General features: G+C 39.0%; 1 long non-coding RNA gene across 5 annotated transcripts in view; it reads right to left on the bottom strand.

The window, feature by feature from the left end:
* Positions 1-22,247, bottom strand: part of LOC105379364 (uncharacterized) — a 535,736-nt gene that overhangs the window by 422,194 nt on the left and 91,295 nt on the right. The gene's annotated exons all lie outside the window — the stretch shown is intronic.

Here is a 22,247-nt window from a genome sequence, read left to right as displayed (position 1 = left end):
TTGCCTGAAGCACTTTTTCTATAAGCCTAAGGATATATTAACATTTCTCAGGGAAACATATTTACAAAGAAAAGCTATGCACATTGTGTAAAAGCCCTGTGGGAGATCTCTTTAAATATGTTCTTTGTTCACCATTTTAGTTTAAGCTTACATTGTTTTCTTCTTTTTCTTTTCTTTGAACCTTGAAGATTTCCTCACTTTATGACAGTCCAACTATGGAATAAAACTTTCTTAATGAAAACTCTTATCTTTTTTAATTTGAAGGTATACTCTTGCAAAAAAAAACTAATATGTCGAAGTTACTGAAGCATAAGTTTCTACACCACCCTTCACAACATTTCCTTGACTTTCAAGACACAACACCTTCCTGCCTCTCCTTCAGCCTCTCTAGCCACTCTGCGCCTGCTTTTCAAATTTATTCTTCATTGTCTGGTAAAGAAGTTTTGGAGTGTCTCAAGGATTTGTCATAGAGGCTCTCATTTCTCCCAATATTCTTTTTCATAAATGATCTCACCCACTCAGCTACATCACATTTTCCCTCTTGCATGGAGATGAATATCTAGTATCAGTCTGTCAGGCAAAAGAGGCAAATAGTCAAAAGTACCCAAGAAAATATTTCAGGAATTGCTGTACTTGAGACAGACATACCACTCTCAAAAAATTCAACACAGACTATTTTCTACACAGGATTTGAAAGATTGCTGATTTCTTAGTTTATCTCCCGAAAGAATTGGCTATGAGTGTTATGGGATAAAGCATTTAGAATAGGAATTAGACATTACATAATTAAAGGTGGGACTTATGTGAATTCTGGAAGTGGGTAATTGGAGGATTAGAAAAGAGTTATTGGCCAGGCATGGTGGCTCACGCCTGTAATCCTAGCACTTTGGGAGGCCAAGGCAGGAGGATCATTTGACATCAGGAGTTTGAAACCACCCTGGCCAACATGATGAAACCCTGGCCAACATGATGAAACCCTGTCTCTCCTAAAAATACAAAAATTAGCCAGGCGTGGTGGCAGGCGCCTATAATCCCAGCTACTCAGGAGGCTGAGGCAGGAGAATCGCTTGAACCTGGGAGACGGAGGTTGCAGTGAGCCGAGATTGCACCATTGCACTACAACCTGGGCGACAGAGTGAGACTCTGTCTAAAAAAAGAAAAAAAAAAGTTATTAATTAGTTCTCCTTAAGCAATGGCATAGGTGAGAAAGAGCCTCCAAGGAAATCCAAGAAACCAAATATGTTAAGCTGCTAAAGTGACAGCAAAGGGGAGCTTGCCTCTGTGGGTCCACGACCCACAGAGAAAGGAATTCTGGAAAAAATAATTTCTAGGTTAATCAAATTGACAATAGAACAATTCAACACAACTTAGAACAGATTCAAATTTAGATTTTAATTAAGAGATTATATATGAATGTTTAATGTCTTTCTCCTCCATTTGATATAAACATCATAAAAACAAGGACTATTTATTCATTATTTCACCAACTATTTATTGAGTACCTACTGTGATCCAAGTGCTTTTCTGAGCAGAGTATACAGGTGTGAAGAAAAGAGATAACAATTTCTTATTCTCGCATTAGTGGGTTGGAGGTGGGCAATGGGCAAAATAATAATGTAATATACATATACAGTAAGCCTTCACTTGTGGTCATCAATAGGTTCTTGGAACTTGCAATAAAATACCATAAAATGTAACCAACTTTCTTTCAACAACATTATAATGATACAACTTTGGACAGAACATTGAACAAAATGATGTTATTCTAGGCCCTCCTGGGTATCATTTTCAAAGCATGGTCAAAAAACCTATAGCTTCTATGCCCTAAATGTATCTCATGTCTTCTGGCTATGGGCTTTACATAAGCTCAAATCAAACTGACACTTATCCCACAGGATGCTAGATATTTCTTGGCTTAAATTCCAGTTTCAACACATTTCTTACATGAAAGACTGCAAAAGTGTGGCACCCGATAATTTAAATGACAATATTTGGCAGAATTTAATAACTTCATTTTCTATAAATTCGAAAGACTAATGAGCCCCCTTATCAGTAGAAAATGTGAGTTCTCCCAGTCTGGTGGGAGAACTGTCTGGCCATGCCTTGCTCAAATACCCTAAAACAACATTGCCTGTGGCAGCTACCAACAAATGGATGGCAGTCTTCCTTGTTCTCCACTTCTATCATATGTATGTTCCAGTTGGCTGAAACATAGACTCAGTGTGGTCTACACAAAACAATAGTAAGATAGTAGAAATTCCTGGACATGATAAAGAGGGAGGAAATGTACGGAAATGGATTTATCACAAGTGACTTGCTTACCCATCCTAGTAGGGTCAGCAGGCTCTCCTTTCATCACAGTTTTTTTTTTCCATAGGTTATTGGGGTACAGGTGGTGTTTGATTACATGAGTAAGTTCTTTAGTGGTGATCTGTGAGATTTTGGTCCACCAATCACCCAAGCAGTATCCACTCCACCCTATTTGTATTCTTTTATCCCTCGCCTCCTCCCTCCCTTCACGCCAAGTCCCTGGATTCCCTTGTATCATTCTCATACCTTTGCATCCTTGTAGTTTAGCTCCCACATATCAGTGAGAATATACAATGTTTGGTTTTCCATTCCTGAGTTACTTCACTTAGAATAATAGTCTCCAATCTCATCCAGGTCACTGCAAATGCCATTAACTCATTCCTTTTTATGGCTGAATAGCATTCCATGGTGTGTGTGTGTGTGTGTGTGTGTGTGTGTGTGTGTGTGTGTGTGTATGTGTATATATATATATACCAGAGTTTCTTTATCCACTTGTTGATTTACGGGCATTTAGGTGGGTTCCATGCTTCTAGAGCATTGGGCAGTGAGCCCCTTTTGCCCAGTAATACAACCAGACCTTTCAGAATTATTGCAGTTGTGAATTGTGCTGCTATAAGCATGCGTGTGCATGTATCTTTTTTGTATAATGACTTCTTTTCCTCTGGGTAGATACCCAATATTGGGATTGCTGGATCAAATGGTAGCTCCACTTTCAGTTCTTTAAGAATCTCCACACTGTTTTCTATAGTGGCTTTATTAGTTTACATTCCCACCAGCAGTGTAGAAGTGTTCCCTGATCACTGCATCCATGCTAACATCTACTGTTTTTTGACTTTTTTATTATGGCCATCCTTGCAGGAGTAAGGTGGTATCACACTGGTTTTGATTTGCATTTCCCTGATCATTAGTGATGTTGAGCATTTTTTGATATGTTTGTTGGCCATTTGTATATCTTCTTTTGAGAATTGTCTATTCACCTCAGTTTTGAGAAATACATAGTTGGGAAGCCCTGCGATTCTTGAAAAGTGCTATGTTGGCTTCACTCCATTGGCCATGGATAAGGTTGAGAGATACTGCCATTGTAATGAGCTCTCTTATTTCCATGGAGATGATGGGATTGAGGCCAGGCAGAGGATAAATATCACTACCTAACTGCCAGAAGTAGAGCAGACATAGTCACCATACCAGGCAGCAAGGCTCATGGTAATCAGAATGGTTTGACAGTGGATAACTGATTACAAGGTCCCTAGAATCCAAATAAATGGCCTATCCTCTAACATCCTAATTGATTTCTATAACTGAACTGAAACTGTAAACCAGGAAAATAGATGATTTGAGACCTTCATCTAATTCCAGAACTAATCATTTCCCAGAGGCACATGAATAAAGAGAAGATTGCACCATGGAGGAAGGTCCATGCAATATTATGTTTTGTAAATTGTCTGCTCTTCCCCAAAGGAAAGTGCCACCACTTCCTGGAATGACTGTACCCAGGAGAAAAGGGAATGACTGAAACTGTGCCCCAAAGTTAAAAAAAAAAAAAAAACTAGTAGAAATTCTTGAGTTTGCAGGATGGCAGATAAGAAAAGAAACAACTTGCTGAAACACTGAAACTTCTCTCCTTTGTAAGATAACAAAACTGGCTGAAATCAGTTGAAACCACTATAGCTGCATAAGTTTGCACAAAACAAACTTGCTGACATCATAGCCTGAATTTCCATGCTTCATACCAGCTCCCTCCAAATTTACACATGAGACCAATAAGGAGGCAAGAAGAGATGGCTATACATGCCTGAGGACTTTCTAGACCTCTTTCCTTCCACCAATCACCTGCTAATCCCAGAATCCAGCCCCTAAACCTTTTCTAATAAAATTACTGCTGTGAAACCAGCACAGGGAGATAGATTTGAGCTTGACTCCTGTCTCCTTGTGAGTCGACTTGCAATAAAAAGCTTTTCTTTTCTCAAAACCGTGGTGTCATAGTACAGGCTTCTAGAGCATCGAGCAGTGAGCCTGTTTTGCTCAGTAATACAACCAGACCTTTCAGGGATTATTGGACACTGGTTCAGAGCTATTTTTTATCCCCAAGAATATCCTGATATCTACCAGTGCTTATGTAGGTTGTATAATAAGTTTTTGCCTCAGTCTGTTTCATAAAGGGCTCACTTAATATGCAAATCCTTTCTGTGGTTATTTTCCCCAAGAATAGATAGTTGAACTATACATGCTCAGCAACCACTGGAACATCTACATGGGTTTCTACATGGGTTCCTGGTCTATGGCATGATGACTAGTGTGCAGGCAGAGCCTAAAGGAGGGCTGTAGAGCCCCATATCCCTATGACGATAGTAAACTGGAACCAAAACCACATTCCTGGGGAGCTGCAGAAATTACCGCTAATGTCAAAAACTTGAAAGATGCAGAAATGATCATTCTTAGCATCCCCATTTGACTCTTGGATTGGCTTTCACAAAAGACAGAAAGGTCTTGGCTGGACACAGTGGCTCACACCTGTAATCCCAGCACTTTGGGAGCCCAAGGCAGGCGGATCACTCAAGATCAGGAGTTCAAGACCACCCTGGCCAGCATAGTGAAACCCTGTCTCTACTAAAAAAACAAAAATTAGCCAGGCATGGTGGCAGGCACCTGTAATCCCAGCTACATGGGAGGCTAAGGCAGGGGAATCGCTTCAACCTGGGAGGCGGAGGTTGCAGTGAGCCAAGATCGCACCACTGCACTCCAGCCTGGGTGACAGAGCGAGACTCCGTCTCAAAAAAAATAAAAAATAATAAAAAGACAGAAAGGTCTTGAAGAAGAATGGTAAATTATCACAAACTCAATCAGAAAATTAATCTTTTATTCCAGATGTAGTCTCTTTTATATTTATTTATTTATTTATTTATTTAGTTAGTTAGTTATTTTTGAGATAGGGTCTCACTCTGTCACCCAGGCTGGAGCAGTGGTGTGATTATGGCTCACTGCAGTCTCAAACTGCTGGATTCAAGTGATCCTCCTACCCCAGCCTCCCAAGTAGCTGGCACTATAGACATGTGCCACCACACTTAGCTAATTTTTTATTTATGGAGAGAGTTTTGCTACGTTGCCCAGGCTGGTCTTGAACTCCTAGCCTCATGAGATCCTTCCACCTTGGCCTCCCAAAGTGCTGGGATTACAGGTAGGAACCACTGCACTTGCCAGATGTAGTCTTTTTACTAGAGCAAACCAATACATACTGAAGCACCTGGCATGCAGTGCTCATCTCGAAAATGCTTTGTTTTCTAAAGTATGAAGCAGAAATTTTTAGAAGTGGTTTCCTTGCACTTTTCAGTCAGGAGTATAATTTCACTCTCTTGCTTCAGGGCCACATCAGCTATCCAATCTTTGGCTATAATTTTGTTCACAGGGACCTCGGTTGTCTTACCATCTCATAGAATGTCATGCTGGACTGCTCCACCAATTACATAATACTGATAGAACCTGGTGAGCAAGAAGTAGCAGGCCGCCTAAATGCCTTGGCAAGACATAGTTGTAACAGAGGATGGGCAATAAACTCCAAGAAGATTCAACTCGGTGAACTTTCCGGAAGTCCAGTAGTCTGGGCTGGATATCGTCTCCAAAGTGAAAGACAAGTTGCTCTACCATATACCCCCTATCAGTACAAAAGAGGCCCACAACAAACATATGAAAAAATGCTCAACCTCACTAATAATCAGAGGAATGCAAATAAAACCAAAATGAGATACCATCTCACAGCAGTCAGAATGGCTATTATTAAAAACACAAAAAATAGCAGATACTAGCAAGAAAAGGGAACATTTAGACACTGCTGGTGCTAATGTAAATTAGTATAACCTATATGGAAAACAGTGTAGAGATTTCTCAAAGAACTAACAATAGAGCTACCATTTGATCCAGCAATCCCACTACTGGGTACTATCCAAAGGAAAATCAACTGTTATATCAAAAAGACACCTGCACTTGTATGTTTATCACAGCACTATTCACAATAACAAAGTCATGGAATCAACCCAAGTATCCATCAACAGTGGATTAGATAAAGAAAATACATCATACATAATACACCATGACACAGCCATAAAAATTTAATCATGTCTTTTGTAGCAACATGGAGGGAACCAGAGGCCATTATCCTAAGTGAAATAACTCAGAAACAGAAAATCAAATATCGCATGTTCTCACTAGTAAGTGGGAGCTAAACAATGTGTGCACGTGGACCTACAGAGGGAAATAATAGACACTGGGGACTCCAAAAGGGGATAAGGTGGGAGGAGGGTGAGGGTTGAAAAATTACTTATTGGGTACAATGTTCACTATTCAGTTGATGAATACACTAGAAGCCCAAACCCCACTCCTGCTATGCAATATATCCATATAACAAACCTGCACACGTACCCCCTGAATCTATAAAAATGAAAGCATTTTTTAAAAAATTTAATACAGAAGAGGCCTGATACTTGAGTGAGCCAATTTTGAAATCAACAGACGGCATATTTGAGTGTGTTGCTCTGATTCATTTATCAAGGATGAAACTTTGCACTGGAGTCCAGAATTAAAGAAAGTCTGTAGCTGGTACAGGCTGCAGTGCCAATGGCTCTGGCACTAGGTCTTATTACCCAGAGGATTCAATGATACTTGTAATACCTATGACAAGTTGGAATTCTGTGAGTAATGTTATTTTGTGAAAAGTCCTACACTGACTTTTTAGGCTGAAGTGACAATGATCTGGGAGTTAAAGATATTTAATCATGATAGAATTAAAGTACTTTTCATTCACATCCATAGATCCCTTTCGTAAACTTGATCCCAATATGACATAGGTTGATGTTTTTAAATTATTTCTGAACCATCCATGACAAATCTCAATCGTGCAGAGGTGCCAAGACTTGAGGATTCAGTCTACATCAATCCCTGGAAATATATAGCACAAAAAATGGTTTGGCTGGGCGCAGTGGCTCCCGCCTGTAATCCTAACACTTTGGGAGGCCAAGGCAGGTGGATCACTTGAGGTCAGGAGTTCGAGACCAGCCTGACCAACATGGTGAAACCCCATCTCTACTAAAAATACAAAGATTAGCCAGGCATGGTGGCACATGCCTGTAATCCCAGCTACTCGGGAGGCTGAGACAGGAGAATCGCTTGAACCCGGGAGGCAGAGATTGCGGTGAGCCAAGATTGTGCCATTGCACTCCAGCCTGGGGGACAAGAACGAAACTTTATCTCAAAAAACAAAAAAGGGCTTGTTAGATAGCATGAAGATGTACAAAAGTAAGAGACAAAAAAAAACAGTATTTTTTTTTTGTAAATAGTAGTGATCCATGAGCTATCAAAAAGAATCTTGGAAGAGTTTCTCTCCCATGTAAACAATCTTCTCAGCCAGGCGTGGTGGCTCATGCCTGTAATCCCAGCACTTTGGGAGGCCGAGGCAGGCAGATCACCTGAGATCAGGAGTTCAAGACCAGCATGACCAGCATGGAGAAACCCTGTCTCTATTAAAAATACAAAATTAGCCAGGTGTGGCAGCGGGCACCTGTAATCCCAGCTACTCAGGAGGCTAAGGCAGGAGAATCGCTTGAACTCGGGAGGTGGAGGTTGCAGTGAGCCGAGATTGTGCTACTGCACTCCAGCCTGGGCATCAAGAGCGAAACTCCATCTCTAAATAAATAAATAAATCAAAACAATCTTCTCTAATTCTCATTCTATAATTAAGGTTTTTCTCTTGCACCCTGGGGGATTCTGTAACATCATCAGGCCAAAGCAAAAAAGCAAAGCCAAAAAATGTCTCTTAAAGTTTTGATGGTCTTTTTTTTTTTTCAACTTTTATTTTAGATTTAGGGGGTACATGTGCAGGTTTGTTACCTGGGTATACTGCATGATGCTGAGGTTTGGGGGACAAATGATCCTGTCACCCAAGTACTGAGCATATTACCCAACTGTTTTTTAATACTCACCTCCCTCCCTCCCATTAGGAGTCCCCAGTGTCTGTTGTTGCCATCTTTATGTTCATGAGTACCCAATGTTTAGCTCCTGCTTTTAAGTGAGGACATACAGTATTTTGTTTTCTGTTCCTGTGTTAATTCACTTAGGATAATGGCCTCCAGCTGCGTTCTTTTCTATTCTTTTCTATGACTACAAAGCATTGCATTGTGCATGCACCCCATTTTCTTTATCCAATCCACTGTTGATGGGTACCTAGGTTGATTTCATGACTTTGCTATTTGATGGTCTTCTAAGAAAAAGACGATGAGAAGAAATGCCTTGAGAGACGTAACATCTATAGTCTGTCTACAGTTTTTCTCTGTAAAGTTCTCTTTAACCACAAGTGAGAATAAAATGACTTATCTTGAGACAAAGACTTAGCAGTCATGGTAAAATTATTTCCGTGTTTCTGAACACTGGTCAGTCTAGACTTCATCCCTTCTAGTTTCTTAACTCACATGTAGCTTAAAATCAAGTTTCAAACACAAAATGACATCCCTAAAATACAATGTTTTATTTTAACAACCAGAAAAGACAATTTTCTAGAATTTTTATATATGATTTCCATAATGGTAATAACAGCAAATAATGAGAAAAGTAATTGTAATACTGGTAGTGTGTTTAATGAGATTTATTTAATGGGTAGGCCCTTAAAGAAATAATAGGTGCACAGAGCACTTAAAGCAGGAATAACTGAAATCTTATTGAAACTATTACTTTGCCCTTAAGGAATATTTTATTTCATGGTTTAAAAATCATACTCTCAAAGGAAATCAAGGAGAAACACTTAAAAAAAACTCCAGTTTCTTTTAAGGATGAGTAATATTTTACTTCTCTATTCATAAAAATACCAGAACTCTTTCCCTTTTATAAGGCTATGTGTTACCTCAGTGAAGGTGGAACGGACAGCTGGCTAGGTTTAAGTCCTAGCTGTGCCCCCTTCTGCTTGTGTGATTTCAACTGATATTTAACTTTGCTAATCCCGTTTCCTCAACTGAAAGATGATCACAATAATATTATTATTATATTCACAAGGCTATTTTCAGGATATTGTATGTGATTTTATTCCTATTGCATCAATTACATACATAGAGTTTCATCTGGCAACTTTCATCTGGTCTTTTATATCTTAAAAGATATAAAAGTAGCATAGGAGAAAAATGCAAAATTGTCTACTCCCTCTTTTTGCATCCTTTACTATGTTTTCCTATTCCAGGAGCACTTCTAACAATATTGCAAACAAATCAGAATTTGTTCTTCACACCCAAACCTCTACTTTCTTTGTCATTTTGACCTTAATAAAATATGTATGTGATGATGGGGTGTGGTGGAGAAAAAAGAGCACTGAACTCAGCAGTCAAGAAATCTGGATTTGAGTCGCAGCTCTGCCACAGTCTGGAAGTGAGGCCTTGAGCAAATCCCAGCCTTAGTGAGTAACGCATTGCAGGGTGTGTTCACTCCTTGGTAGTCATGTTCTCTACTCTTGACAAACCCACACCAGAGTCTCTGAGCACTTGGTTAGAAGGCTGTGGATAATTCCAGAACTCTGGACAAGTATTCCTCATTCTCACTTTCTTACAACTTATATCTATCTTGCTTATACACCAGCTACCCCCTTGCCAACCTGTTTGGCTTACCAACTTGTCTCTTTTTTTTTTAATTTTTCAATTTTCAAATATGATAATCATATACTAAACTGCTTATCAAGCTTCTAACACCAACTTTGGTGATAATAATAGTATTTATTGAGTCCTTACAATGTACTAGGCATTGTGTTTTACAAACATGATTTCATTCATTTCAATTAAGCCCTATAAAGAAGGTATATTTATTGTCTCCACTATATAGATGAGGAAACTGAGGCTTAGAGGGAATAAGTAAATGTACATTTTTAAATAGGCGTCTAATTAGCCACAGGAAAGCTAGTGCTTTTGTTTGGCGTTTAGAGCCTGCTTGTTTGAATCAAGATCTAAATGAGGTCCACATTTTCCAATTGGTTGATGTCTCTTGAATTTATAAGTGCCCTCTTTCTCTGTTTTTTTTTTCTCGTAATTTATTTTTAAGGAAACTAGGTCACTTGCCTTGTGCAACTTCCAATAGACTGGATTCCACTGATTACATCTCCTTGCTGTTGTTAAATATATTCCTTCATCTTTTGAATTTCCTGTATTGCCAGGCAGTTGTAGGGAATTGATCAGACTCAGGCTTGATTTTTTAGGAAGACTACTTTAGAAGCAGTGGTGCACTCTTCAGTTAGTGGTATGTAATGGCTGGTTATTTCTCTTTTTATAATGTTAACTGCATTATGTTCAGTGCCTAGATCCAGCAGTTTATCAGGAGAGGCCATACGATAATAGTCTAATTGCATCATTCTTATTTTATTAGCAGAGATATTTCTATAAAGATTGTTTCCCTATATCTATTATTCAATTATCCAATGATATAGTTCATGGGAACGTCAAAATAAATATTGATCCTTTCCCTTTATGTATCAGTTTTCAAAGTGACGAGTGAATTCATTAGCATTCTTCTGTGGTGAGCAGATGTGTTTGTTTTCTCAGAACTGTTATAAACAGTTTCATGGTAAATTCATGGATTTCATTATATGTGTATTTAAATTTATTACAGTTATCTTTATTGATGTTCACGTGTTATATAATTGGCCAAACTCAAGTTGTCTCCTGAAACCTTTTGACAAAACCTTAGTGGTTTTTGTTCTCAATGACACCAGCAAGGAAAGAATCCGCCGATCACACAATCACTTTTTTAATTTACTCTACTCTATACACAATAGTCACAAGAATGACAGTACCAAAACTATTGCGGATAATATGAGTATGATGATCACTTTAAGAATTTTTTCTTTTTTTTTGCGGTTCTTTTGTTCCTACATTTGCTACTAGAAATATAGATCCAAACTGCTGTTTTAAGGTCTTTTGGAAGAGCTCAAATTGTAACTCAGGCAATGTGACTGAAGAGATGACTCTAAACCATGGTAACCAAAGGTATCTATAACCCACTAGACAAGGCCTGCAATTCCTCACCCATCTGGGACAAGTGATCAGAGCTTTTAGACAGCACAACAGCACAACCTATAAGATCCTTGCTGCTTCTAACTTTATACAACCCTAAAACCACAAATACAGCTCCTGCAAATGGTGTGCAGATCTATGCTGTGGAAGACTTAACATTTAAAATAAGTTGTTTACTTGAATTCTATAAATCAGCTGTTAGCACCAAAGATTTCTCAGATATGACGAAGTTTCACGTTTCCCTAAGAAACAAATTGATCCATGCAAAAATGCCAAGCTTCAGAAAAGCTGTTGAGAATTCTCCCAGCAAAGAATGAACCGTGATCTTCCTCTCTTCCTTCTCAGTACAGTCTGACTTCTATGAACATCTAATGATAATTCCAAGGACTTCCCCTCTTCCCTGCCATCTATTTCTATTAATAAAGTAATATAGTGCTTTTAAATTGATTAAGCAGTGTCACATTGTTTTGAACCAGTTTATACTCTACCAGAAGTGGATGAGAGATCCTGTTTTGTTTCTCCACATTTTTACAAAAGCTTGGTAGAGAGAAACCTTCTATTAACTTTTGCCAATCTGGTAGAGATGAAATGCAGTCTCATTGCGATTTCAATTTGCATTTCACTGAATACTAACAAAGTTGAGCATCTTTTCTTTTCTTTTTTTTTTTTTTTTTTTTTAAGACAGGGCCTGGCTCTGTCTCCCAGGCTGGAGTGCAGTGGCACGATCTTGGTTCACTGCAAACTCCACCTCCCAGGTTCAAGCAACTCTCCTGCCTCAGCTTCCTGAGTAGCTGGGACTACAGGCACGTGCCACCATGCTCAGATAAGTTTTGCATTTTTAGTAGAGACGAGGTTTCACCATGTTTGCCAGGCTTGTCTCAAACTCCTGACCTCAGGTGATCCATCTGCCTCGGCCACCCAAAGTGCTGGGATTATAGGCATGAGCCACCACACCTGGCCTAAGCATCTTTTCATCTGTTTATGGGTTATAGATTCCTTCTTTGAAATTTATATTCATGCTTTTTGACCATCTTTAAATTTAGTTGTTTAACTTTTGCCTAATGATTCATAGGAGGTCTTTATATGTTTAGGCTACTAAATCTTTGTTGATTACATTTTTTTGAAAGATATCTTTTCTCAGTTTATGGTTTGTCTTTTTACTCTCTTTATGGTGTCTTCCAATGAACAGAAGTTCTTATTTTTTAATGCAGTTGAATGTATTAACCTTTTCCTTTATATTTGTCCTTTTTTATTAATCTTGTGGAAAAAGTCATTCACAACCAGACCCCATAAAGATATTCTCCTGTATTTTCTTCTGAAATGTTTATGGTTTTGACTTTCTTAACTTTCATATTTATCCTTAATAGGAATGTAGTATTATATATAGTTTGAAGTAGAGATGCAATTTCATTTTTGTTTGTATGAATAATGATTTCCTTGTGGTCTGCAATGCAGCTTCTGTCATATATCAAGTTGTCATATAATTATGGCTCTGTTTGTGTTTCTGTTGTCCTGTGGGTCTTGTCCATGTCTGCACCCAGTGCTACAAGATCTTAACTACTCTAGCTTTACAATAAGTCTTGATATCTGGTAGGGCAAGCTCCCCACACAACCCATACATATCTTATGTCACTTTTCCAAGAGTGTCTTGGCTCTTTCTGGCCCTTTTCTATCTATATAAATTTTATAATCACATTTTCAAACTCCATAAAAATACTTGAGACTGTTTTTGAAACTTACTGAGTCTCTAGTTTAATCTGGAAATAACTGACATCTTTATAATATTAAATCTTTCCATCCAAAAAAATTATCCTATACAATCTAGAAAACACTAAACAATACCTTATTTATTACCTATTCATAGATGTATCCTTGTTAAAAGTAGAAATAATGTCTGTGAGCCTGGGAAGAGGGGTGCGTGATGGGTTGTCTGAAGAGAAAGCACAAAGAGGCTTCTATGGTAATCATTTATATCTTAACCAGGGTGGTGGGAATATGGATGTTTATTTTATTATCATTCTTCAAACTGGACATATACAGTTTATATACCCTTTTGTTCACATGGCATGTTTCATAAGACAAAATTTAAGACATGCAATAAAGGAGATATTTGCCAAGCCAATTGATTTAGAACAAAAGTGTTAAATTTTTGAATTTTTCTTCCCATCATATAAACTTGCACATAATGAACTGTTAGTTCAATATTTCCAAGAATAACTATGTCCCTCTGTGTATCATGATGAAAGTCTTTGTTTAAAAAAATGATTGTTTCATTCTCATAAAGACACATGCACACATATGTTCATTGCAGCACTGTGCGTAATAGCAATGACTTGAAGTCAACCTAAATGCCCATGAAAGGTAGACTGGATAAAGAAAATGTGGCACATATACACCATGGAATACTATGCAGCCACAGAAAAGAATAAGATCGTGTCCTTTGCAGGAAAATGGATGGAGCTGGAGGCCATCATCCTTAGCAAGCTAACACAGGAACAGAAAACCAAATACCATATGTTCTCACTTATAAGTGGGAGCTAAATGATGAAAACACATGGACACAAAGAGGGAAAAAAGACACTGGATCCTACCTGTAGGGGGAGGGTGGGAGGAGTAAAAGGAGAAGAAAAAAACAACTACTGGGTACTAGGCTTAGCACTGGGATGACAAAATAATCTGTACAATGAATGCACGTGACACGAAATTAATTACCTATATAACAAACCTGCACATGTAGCCCTGAACCTAAAATAAAAAATTTAATGATTTTTTTATTTTTAAATTTACTAGCATTCTTGAGTATACTGTTTCTCTATGAGCTGTGGTCATTCCTTTTGCTCTACATGCAGGCTACTATAGTTCAAATGGAATTGGGTATACATTCATTCATTTTTTTTGCAAAATATATGCATAATTTACTGTATGGGGAATAGAAAATATAAGAAGATAAATATTAACATTCTTGCATACAAAAAGAAAAATGAATTAAGACAAGTGCTCAAATAACTACACTGTCTGCTTTAAAAAGTAGAGATAATAATGATAAGCACAAAATGACAGGGGAATCCCAAGGCAAATGAGTTGACATGTGACTGAAGGAGGCAGAAGACTGGGGATAGTCACAAATCATCACCTCATGGTTTAAACACATGCAAGAAAATGTGTAAGTGTTTCAGCCTTTTTACTCATATTCTAGGTTTCTCTCTGGCTGAAAGAGGCTAACAACTGGATTCATGATCATTGAGCCCATTCTCTTCTGGCTCCATATTGTGTCAGTTTGGGGTTTTCAAAACCTGAAAGAATTTCATCTCTATTCCAACCCTCCCATGACAAAGTTGGGAATTATTTACTATTCTGCAATTATTAAGACTACATAGTCTTAGGATTTGCAGATCCTAATTCTGCAAAGTGGGCAGAGACTGCTCTGTGCAATGATTTTACCTGCTCAAAATTCTGCAGTGAACCCTGCATAATTTACATGCACCTCAGAGAACAAGCCTGAAAAGAAGCCAGTGCTAATTGACTGAATCGACCATGTCAGTTGGCTGCTTTGGTTTCATAGAAACCTGTTCACACATCCAATAAGTTCTCTGAGGAGAATAAATTTTAAAACTTATGATCTGATATTGTGATGCCTGTTCCCTATTGTCCATTGCCTCCCAGCCCCCTCTCCTGGACTCTAAATAATTGTTTGACTAAACTTTTCTACTTTCAATTAATTTCATTGGTTCTCTGTTTGCATAACCTGTTAATATCCTGCAGTCAATAGAAGGTATGTTCAGTTGCCAGAGGAGCTTAAAATATTCCTAAGAGATATGGAGATGAAGGCAGAAAGAGCATGCAAGCTACACAAGGGGGCTTACACAGCTAATGCCATTTTTCTCACTTCAGATCCCTGAGCCAAAACCTTCCATGGGACACTCTGAGCAATCATTGACATTTCCAAAATGGCAACACTAATAACATGAAGAGTTCTTCATGTCTGAAGGTCCTGGTGATTTTTAAGCATGAGCACAGATTGAAGGCTGTATTCTTGGCCTGCTGGAGCTGCATTTGCACTTACTAATGCAAGAGTTCGTAATAATTAAATTCAGGCCCACTAGCACTTGCTGCCATGAGAACCTTGTCTCCCAAATGTGTACAGAAGGAAAGCCCAATTGCTCACTGAAAGGATTAGTAGCTTCACATACTATCCTGAATCCTGGGCACTGTTTCAACCTTCTCCAATTATGTGAATTTATAATAAGAAGTGGTCTGAGAGGTTGGCAGAGTAGGTATGAAAGCAAGAGCTGATTAAAATTTATCCTGCCTCTTTGAAACAGTTCTTTCTTTAGAATATTTTTGTATCCTAAGTAATAAATTTTATGGGATTGCAATTTATGGGAATCACATCACCTCACTGTGTACCTTAAGGTTATAGCTTTAAGAAATTATTTTCCAGGAAGTTTAGTACAGACTGCAAAGTAGGCACATGGAGCTAAGCCATTACAACACCCTTGTGATGGTTAATTGCATGTGTCAACTTGACTGTGCCATGAGGTATCCTGATACTTGGTTAACATTATTCTAGGTGAGTCTATGAGGGTGTTTCTGGATAAGGTTAATATCTGAATTCATAGACTAAGTGAAGTAGACTGCCCTCCTCAATACAGGTGGGCCTCTTCCAATCTAATAAAAGTCCAAATAAAACAAAAAGTCAAAATAAGAGAAAATTATTTCTCTCTGCCTGTTTTCAAGCTAAGCTATCAGTCTTCTCCTACTTTCAGACTTGGACTCAGACTGGAACTAACATCATCATCTCACCTGGTTTTCAGGCACTTGGACCCAGACTGGAACTATACTAACAGCTCCCCTGGAAGTATAGCTTGCCAACTGCAGATCTTGGGAATTCTCTGCCCTCTATAACCATGTGAACCAATTCCCTATTTTACATATTGTCTATTGGTTCTTTTTCTCTGTAGAACCCAGACTAATACAGCTGCTATTGTTTGAATGCATCCCCCAAAAGTTCATGTGTTGGAGATTTAATTGCCAACTTAACAGTACTAAGAGGTGGGGCCTTTAAGAGGTGATTAGGTCATGAGGGCCCCACTCTCATGAATGGATGAATGCCATTATTGCAGGAGTAGGTTCATTATTGTGGGAGTGATTTCCTGACAAAGTGATGAGTTCAGCCTGATTTTCTCTATGTCTCATGTCCTTGCTTCTATCTCTCTCTCACCTTCTGCCAGGGGGGTGACCCTTGCCAGATGCCAGTGCCATGCTCTTGGACCTTCCAGCCTCCAGAACTGTAAGCCAAATACATTTATGTTCATTAAAAATTACCCATTCTGTGATATTCTGTTAAAGCAACAGAAAACAGCTGAGACGACAGCCCTTATCCCCACTATTTTTGAATACAGACTCCATTTCTGATAGTGCAGAATTTCACAAGTCCATTCAGCAACAAGAGATCATAACTTTCAAACTCTAAACAAACACTGATTTCTTTCTTTGAAACAGGGTCTGGCTCTGTCACTCAGGCTGGAGTGCAGTGGCACGATCTTGGCTCACTGCAACCTCCGCCTCCCAGGTCCAAGCAATTCTCCTGCCTCAGCCTCCTGAGTAGCTGGGATTACAGGTGTGCGCCACCACGCCTGGCTGATTTTTGTATTTTTAGTAGAGTCAGGGTGTCATCATGTTGGCCAGGCTGGTCTCAAACTCCTGGCCTCAAGTGATCCGCCCACCTCAGCCTCCCAAAGTGCTGGGATTACAGGCATGAGCCACCACTCCCAGCCTTGATTTCTTATTTATTCAGAAAAAAATAATACTTTTGCCTTGATAGCTGTTACTGAGTAACATATGTACTCTAGTACAAAGAATTGGAAATAACTTCATTCAGCTGCCTAGCCTCACAGGATCATTGACACAAACAAAATAGGTAGCCCTCAATCTTATTAAAGCAAATCTCTTGAATGTTTAAGAGTCTAATTTTTATGTTAATTTTCCCATTTAATTTGCACAAGTCTTGATCTTGCCTAGTCTGATCCACTTCTACAAATCATGAAGAAGTTGAGCACTTATAGTCATCTATAAGTGATAGGGCTAAGCCTTCTCAGTGAGCTTACCACCAAGGACAGTTTGGACAAGTGGTAGATCATCATCCTCATGTATAAGAATATTATGAAACAAAAACAAAAATGAGGGAAGGACTTTAAGTTCTATACAGGGAAGCCCTGTTTAAATCACAGTTAATTTAGAGCATGCTTTTAAATCTATAAAACAGCATTGGTAACACTTCTTTTTCTCCTCAAATGAAGATATAATATGTACAAACAAAATATTTGCATAAATTTAAAATATGTGTAACCATAGAAGTCTTTTAAAAGTAAAATCAGTAGTCTGGGCAGGGTGGCTCATGCCTGTAAAATTCCAGCAGTTTGGGAGTCAAGGTGGGTGGATCACCTGAGGTCCAGAGTTCAAGACCAGCCTGACCAACATGGGAAAACCCCTTCTCTACTAAAAATACAAAAATTAGCCAGGCATGGTGGTGCACATCTGTAATCCCAGCTACTCAGGAGGCTGAGGCAGGAGAATCGCTTGAACCTGGGAGGCAGAGGTTGCAGTGAGCTAAGATTGCGCCACTGCACTTCAACCTGGGCAAGAGTGAAACTCTGTCTCAAAATAAATAAATAAATAAATAAAAATAAAATCAGTAAAAACAGATCTACATGATAAAGTGAATTAGTTTAATTAGCATGTAGCCTTTCCCTTCTTTTTGCCTCAAATGTATGCCAGTGTATCCCTGCTATACCTGAGAGCTCTTTGTTTTTTATACTGTAATGTTATCTCTGGAATACATCACCCAAAGCACAAGAAACAAAGAAAACTTTTTATCTTTTTTCAAAATTTAAAAGCCTTATGCTACAAATAATATCCTTAAGAAAGTGCAAAATCCAACCTCAGAATGGGAGAAAATATTTGCAAATCTTTTACATAAGGAATTTTATCCAGAACATGTAAAGAACTCTTACAACTCAGCAATAAAAACATAATCCAATTTTAAAATAGACAAAGAATCTAAACAAACATTTCTCAAAAGCAGATACACAAACGAACAAGCACATGAAAAGATGCTTGGCATCATTAGCCATTAGAGGAATGTAAATGAAAACCACAGAGCAGTGTCACTTGATGCCCACAAAAATGGCTAGGACAAAGAAGACAGACAGTAACAAGCATTAGGCCGGGTGCCGTGGCTCACACCTGTAATCCCAGCACTTTGGGAGGCTGAGGCAGGCGCATCACTTGAGGTCAGGAGTTCGAGACCACCCTGGCCAGCATGGTGAAACCCCATCTCTGCTAAAAAACAAAAATTAGCCAGACGTGGTAGTGCACACCAGCTACTCGGGAGGCTGAGGCATAAGAATCGCTTGAACCCAGCAGGAGGAGGTTACAGTGAGCCGAGATTGCGCCACTACACTCCAGCCTGGGTGACAGAGTGAGACTCCATCTCAAAAAAGAAAAAAACAAAACAAAAAAAAACCATTGGTGGGATGTGAAGAAACTGGAACCCTCATGAATTACTGGTAAAAATGTAATGCAGTACAGTTACTTTGATAAACAGTTTGGCAGTTCTCAAAATGCTAAACATAGAGTTACTATATGAACCAGTAATTTCACTCCTAGGCATATACCCAATAGATACGGAAACACATGTCCCTACAAAAACTTGTACATAAATATTTATAGAATCATTATACTTTTATTTTTACTTTGTATTATTATTTTTTTTTATAGAAACAGGGGTATTGCTATGTTACCCAGGCTGGTCTCAAACTTCTGGTCTCAAGCAATCCTCCTACCTCAAGCTCCCAAAGTGCTGAGATTACAGGTGTGACCCACCATGACTGCCCCATAGTAGCATTTTTATGATAGCCAAAAAGTGTAAACAACCGAAGTGTCCACCAACTGATAAATGAATAAATAAAATGTTTATCCATTATATAGAATATTATTTGGCAATAAAAAGAATGAAGTATCAATATGTGCTACAGCATGAATGAACCCTGAAAACATTATGCTAAGTAAAAGAAATCAGTCAGAAAAGACTGCATATTAAATTTTTCTATTTATATGAAATGTCTAGAATAGGCAAATCTATAGAGACAGAAAATAGATTAGCAGTTGCCAAGGGCTGAGGAGTTACTGCTACCAGATACAAGTAGCAAATGAAAATGTTCTAGAATTGCTGGATAATGGTTGCCCAACTCTGTGAGTTACTAAAAACCAACTAATTGTATACTTCAAATGGTTGCAGTGTATGCTATGTGATATGGTTTGGCTGTGTCCTCACCTAAATCTCATCTTCAATTGTAGCTCCCACAATTCCCACGGGTCATGGGAGGGACCCAGTGAGAGGTAACTGAATCATGGAGGCAAGTCCTTCCCACGCTGTTCTTATGATAGTGAATAAGTCTCATAAGAGCTGATGGTTTTATAAAGGGGAGTTCCCCTGTACAAGTTCTCTTCTCTTCCCTGCCACCATCCATGTAAGACATGAGTTTCCTTCTCCTTGCCATCCACCATGATTGTGAGGCCTCCCCAGCCACGTGGAACTGTGATTCCATTAAACCTCTTCCCTTTACAAATTACCCAGTCTTGGGTATGTCTTTATTAGCAGCATAAGAACAGACTAATACACCATGTGATTTATATCTCAATATGAAATGTGGCTTTTTGGGGTTTTTGTTTGTTTGTTTGTTTTTGTCAACTCTGAAGCAGGAACTCCATTGTGAGTTGGAGAAGTACCACAGTGAGGGCTGCAGTATTTTTGAGGCAGCATTTGTGGAAGTTTGTAGCACTGCATACACTTCTGATATCTCTAACCCATTTTCCCTCCTTAACATTCACTCAGAAAAGTTTAGAATCATTTATACAATAGCAGATAAAAGAATCCATCCAGGAATACTTGAAATCCCTTACTTGAAGCCATTGCCAGGTCTGGGAAGGAAGACATTTGCACTCTGTGGCAGTGAATTCTCTGTGTCCCCTAGTGTATACCGGCAGCCTTGGAGCAGTCATAGCCATCCCCAACCTTCCATGATTGTGATGGCTGCACTGTTTCAGTACAGTGCTTCCCCCATCCACCCCAGTATCTGACTTGCAACTGTTCTCTGGTTCTCAAATTAGAAATGTTTACTGGGTAAGCCTCTTAGGAGATATTATAAAAACACATTTTCCGTGAATGTGCTACTTTGAATTTTCACCCAAAAGTCAGAATTAAAATGTCTCCACATTACTTGAATCAATCCTAAGTAGTCAGGTAAGTACTTAAGGAGGCACATTAAACTCAATGACATTTGAATGTCGATGCACTTGCCCTGAGAGTCAAGAATCCCGAGATTTTTTGCCATTACCCCCACAGACTCAATTTCTTTTTCGGTAGGCATTACCCCATCTCCCCTGTACCTTACAAGGATTCCTACTGAGAGAATAAATTGAATTATCATTTTTATTTAGCATATTGAACACTTTCGCAAAGCAGGTGAAATTATTACAAGACTGGATCTTTGAAAAATATTTAAGTAGGGGAGAAAAGATTGATGGTCATGACTAGGTAGCAACATTTGATTTTACCTAAATTTAGGAAATAGTTTCAGTAGTTCTCCACCTGCTGTCACAGTCACACATAAGATAGGTCAAGTCTGGGTAATGGTTGAAGTAAACCATCCCAGAAAGACTTTGCCATGGAAAGTTTGTGTGTACCCTTCACCCTGAAAGCTAGAGGAGGGCACAGTGGGCTCTGCAGAAATAGAAGTTGGGCAAAGAAGCTTTTGGAAATGAGACAGGGCAAGCAAAGAAAATGAAACCAGCTTTGCAAAAATTATAGTAGTAAGAAAATTATGACAGTGAAACAGATCTGATCTAATCTACCCCCATCTTGTCTTTAACCTCTGAACTGCCCTCATTCCTGGACTTGGACCAAGTTAACTTTGGGAGACATTTAGTTTATAGTTTAAATAATAGCCCTTCCCCAAAACTAAACCATGTTTATAAAGCTAATGAGAGACCACCAGGTTAGGAGGATGAGGAGCCTGAATTCTGCTAAGGTGTAGATTTAAACAATTACCAGTCATTACTCTGGAGGCCACAAGGTTTGCAGCTTCCCCAGTTACTCCTGCAGATAACCTCACAATTGCAGAACCTATGACTGGCCACTTGAAATGTCTTTCTGGGGTTTTGCATTTCTGATGATGAATGGCTCCACCAGGACCCACCGACCTGTCTTGTGGCCCCACCCAGAAGCAGATTCAGTGCAAAAGAACCATACCATTTTCCACATCCCCATGATTGCACCTCCAACCAATCAGCAGCACCGATTCCCTAGCCAACCCTCGCCCCAAGCTATCTTTGAAAAACTCTAGCCTCCAAATTTTGGAGGAAGCTGATTTGAGTAATAATAAAACTCCAGTCCTCCATTTAGCCAGCTCTACATGTGTAAAACTCTTTCTCTATTGCAATTCCCCTGTCTTGAAAAATCTATTCTGTCTGGGAAGTGGGCAAGAGGAACCCACTGGGCGGTTGCAGAAACCAAGGGCTGGGGGTCTTGCTAATGAATCCTGGCAAGGCAGAGTAGTCACTGACAACAGGCTCAAATGGAAGTTAATAAAACACAGACTATATACTGGCCATTTACATTTATTGCACATTAAACCTCTTTGCATACAAAAGATAATGACAGATGCAAAAACAAGAATGCTGAACAGTGCAGGCCTGACAGTAGGGAATGGGAGAGGTGCCAGCTCCCCAGATTAAACCAAACAGGCAGCTCCCTGCAAGGCCACAGGGACTTGGGAGGGAGAGGAGGCAGGGCTTCTGGGGCTACTCTGAAATTGGTGTTTTCCTCAACCGGGAAGTTAAATCTAC

The sequence above is a fragment of the Homo sapiens genome, chromosome 8 (genome assembly GCF_000001405.40).
Source record: "Homo sapiens chromosome 8, GRCh38.p14 Primary Assembly".
Lineage (NCBI taxonomy): Eukaryota > Metazoa > Chordata > Mammalia > Primates > Hominidae > Homo > Homo sapiens.
Note: the sequence above shows the minus strand (reverse complement) of the source record. Positions and strands in the feature narration are given on the sequence as shown.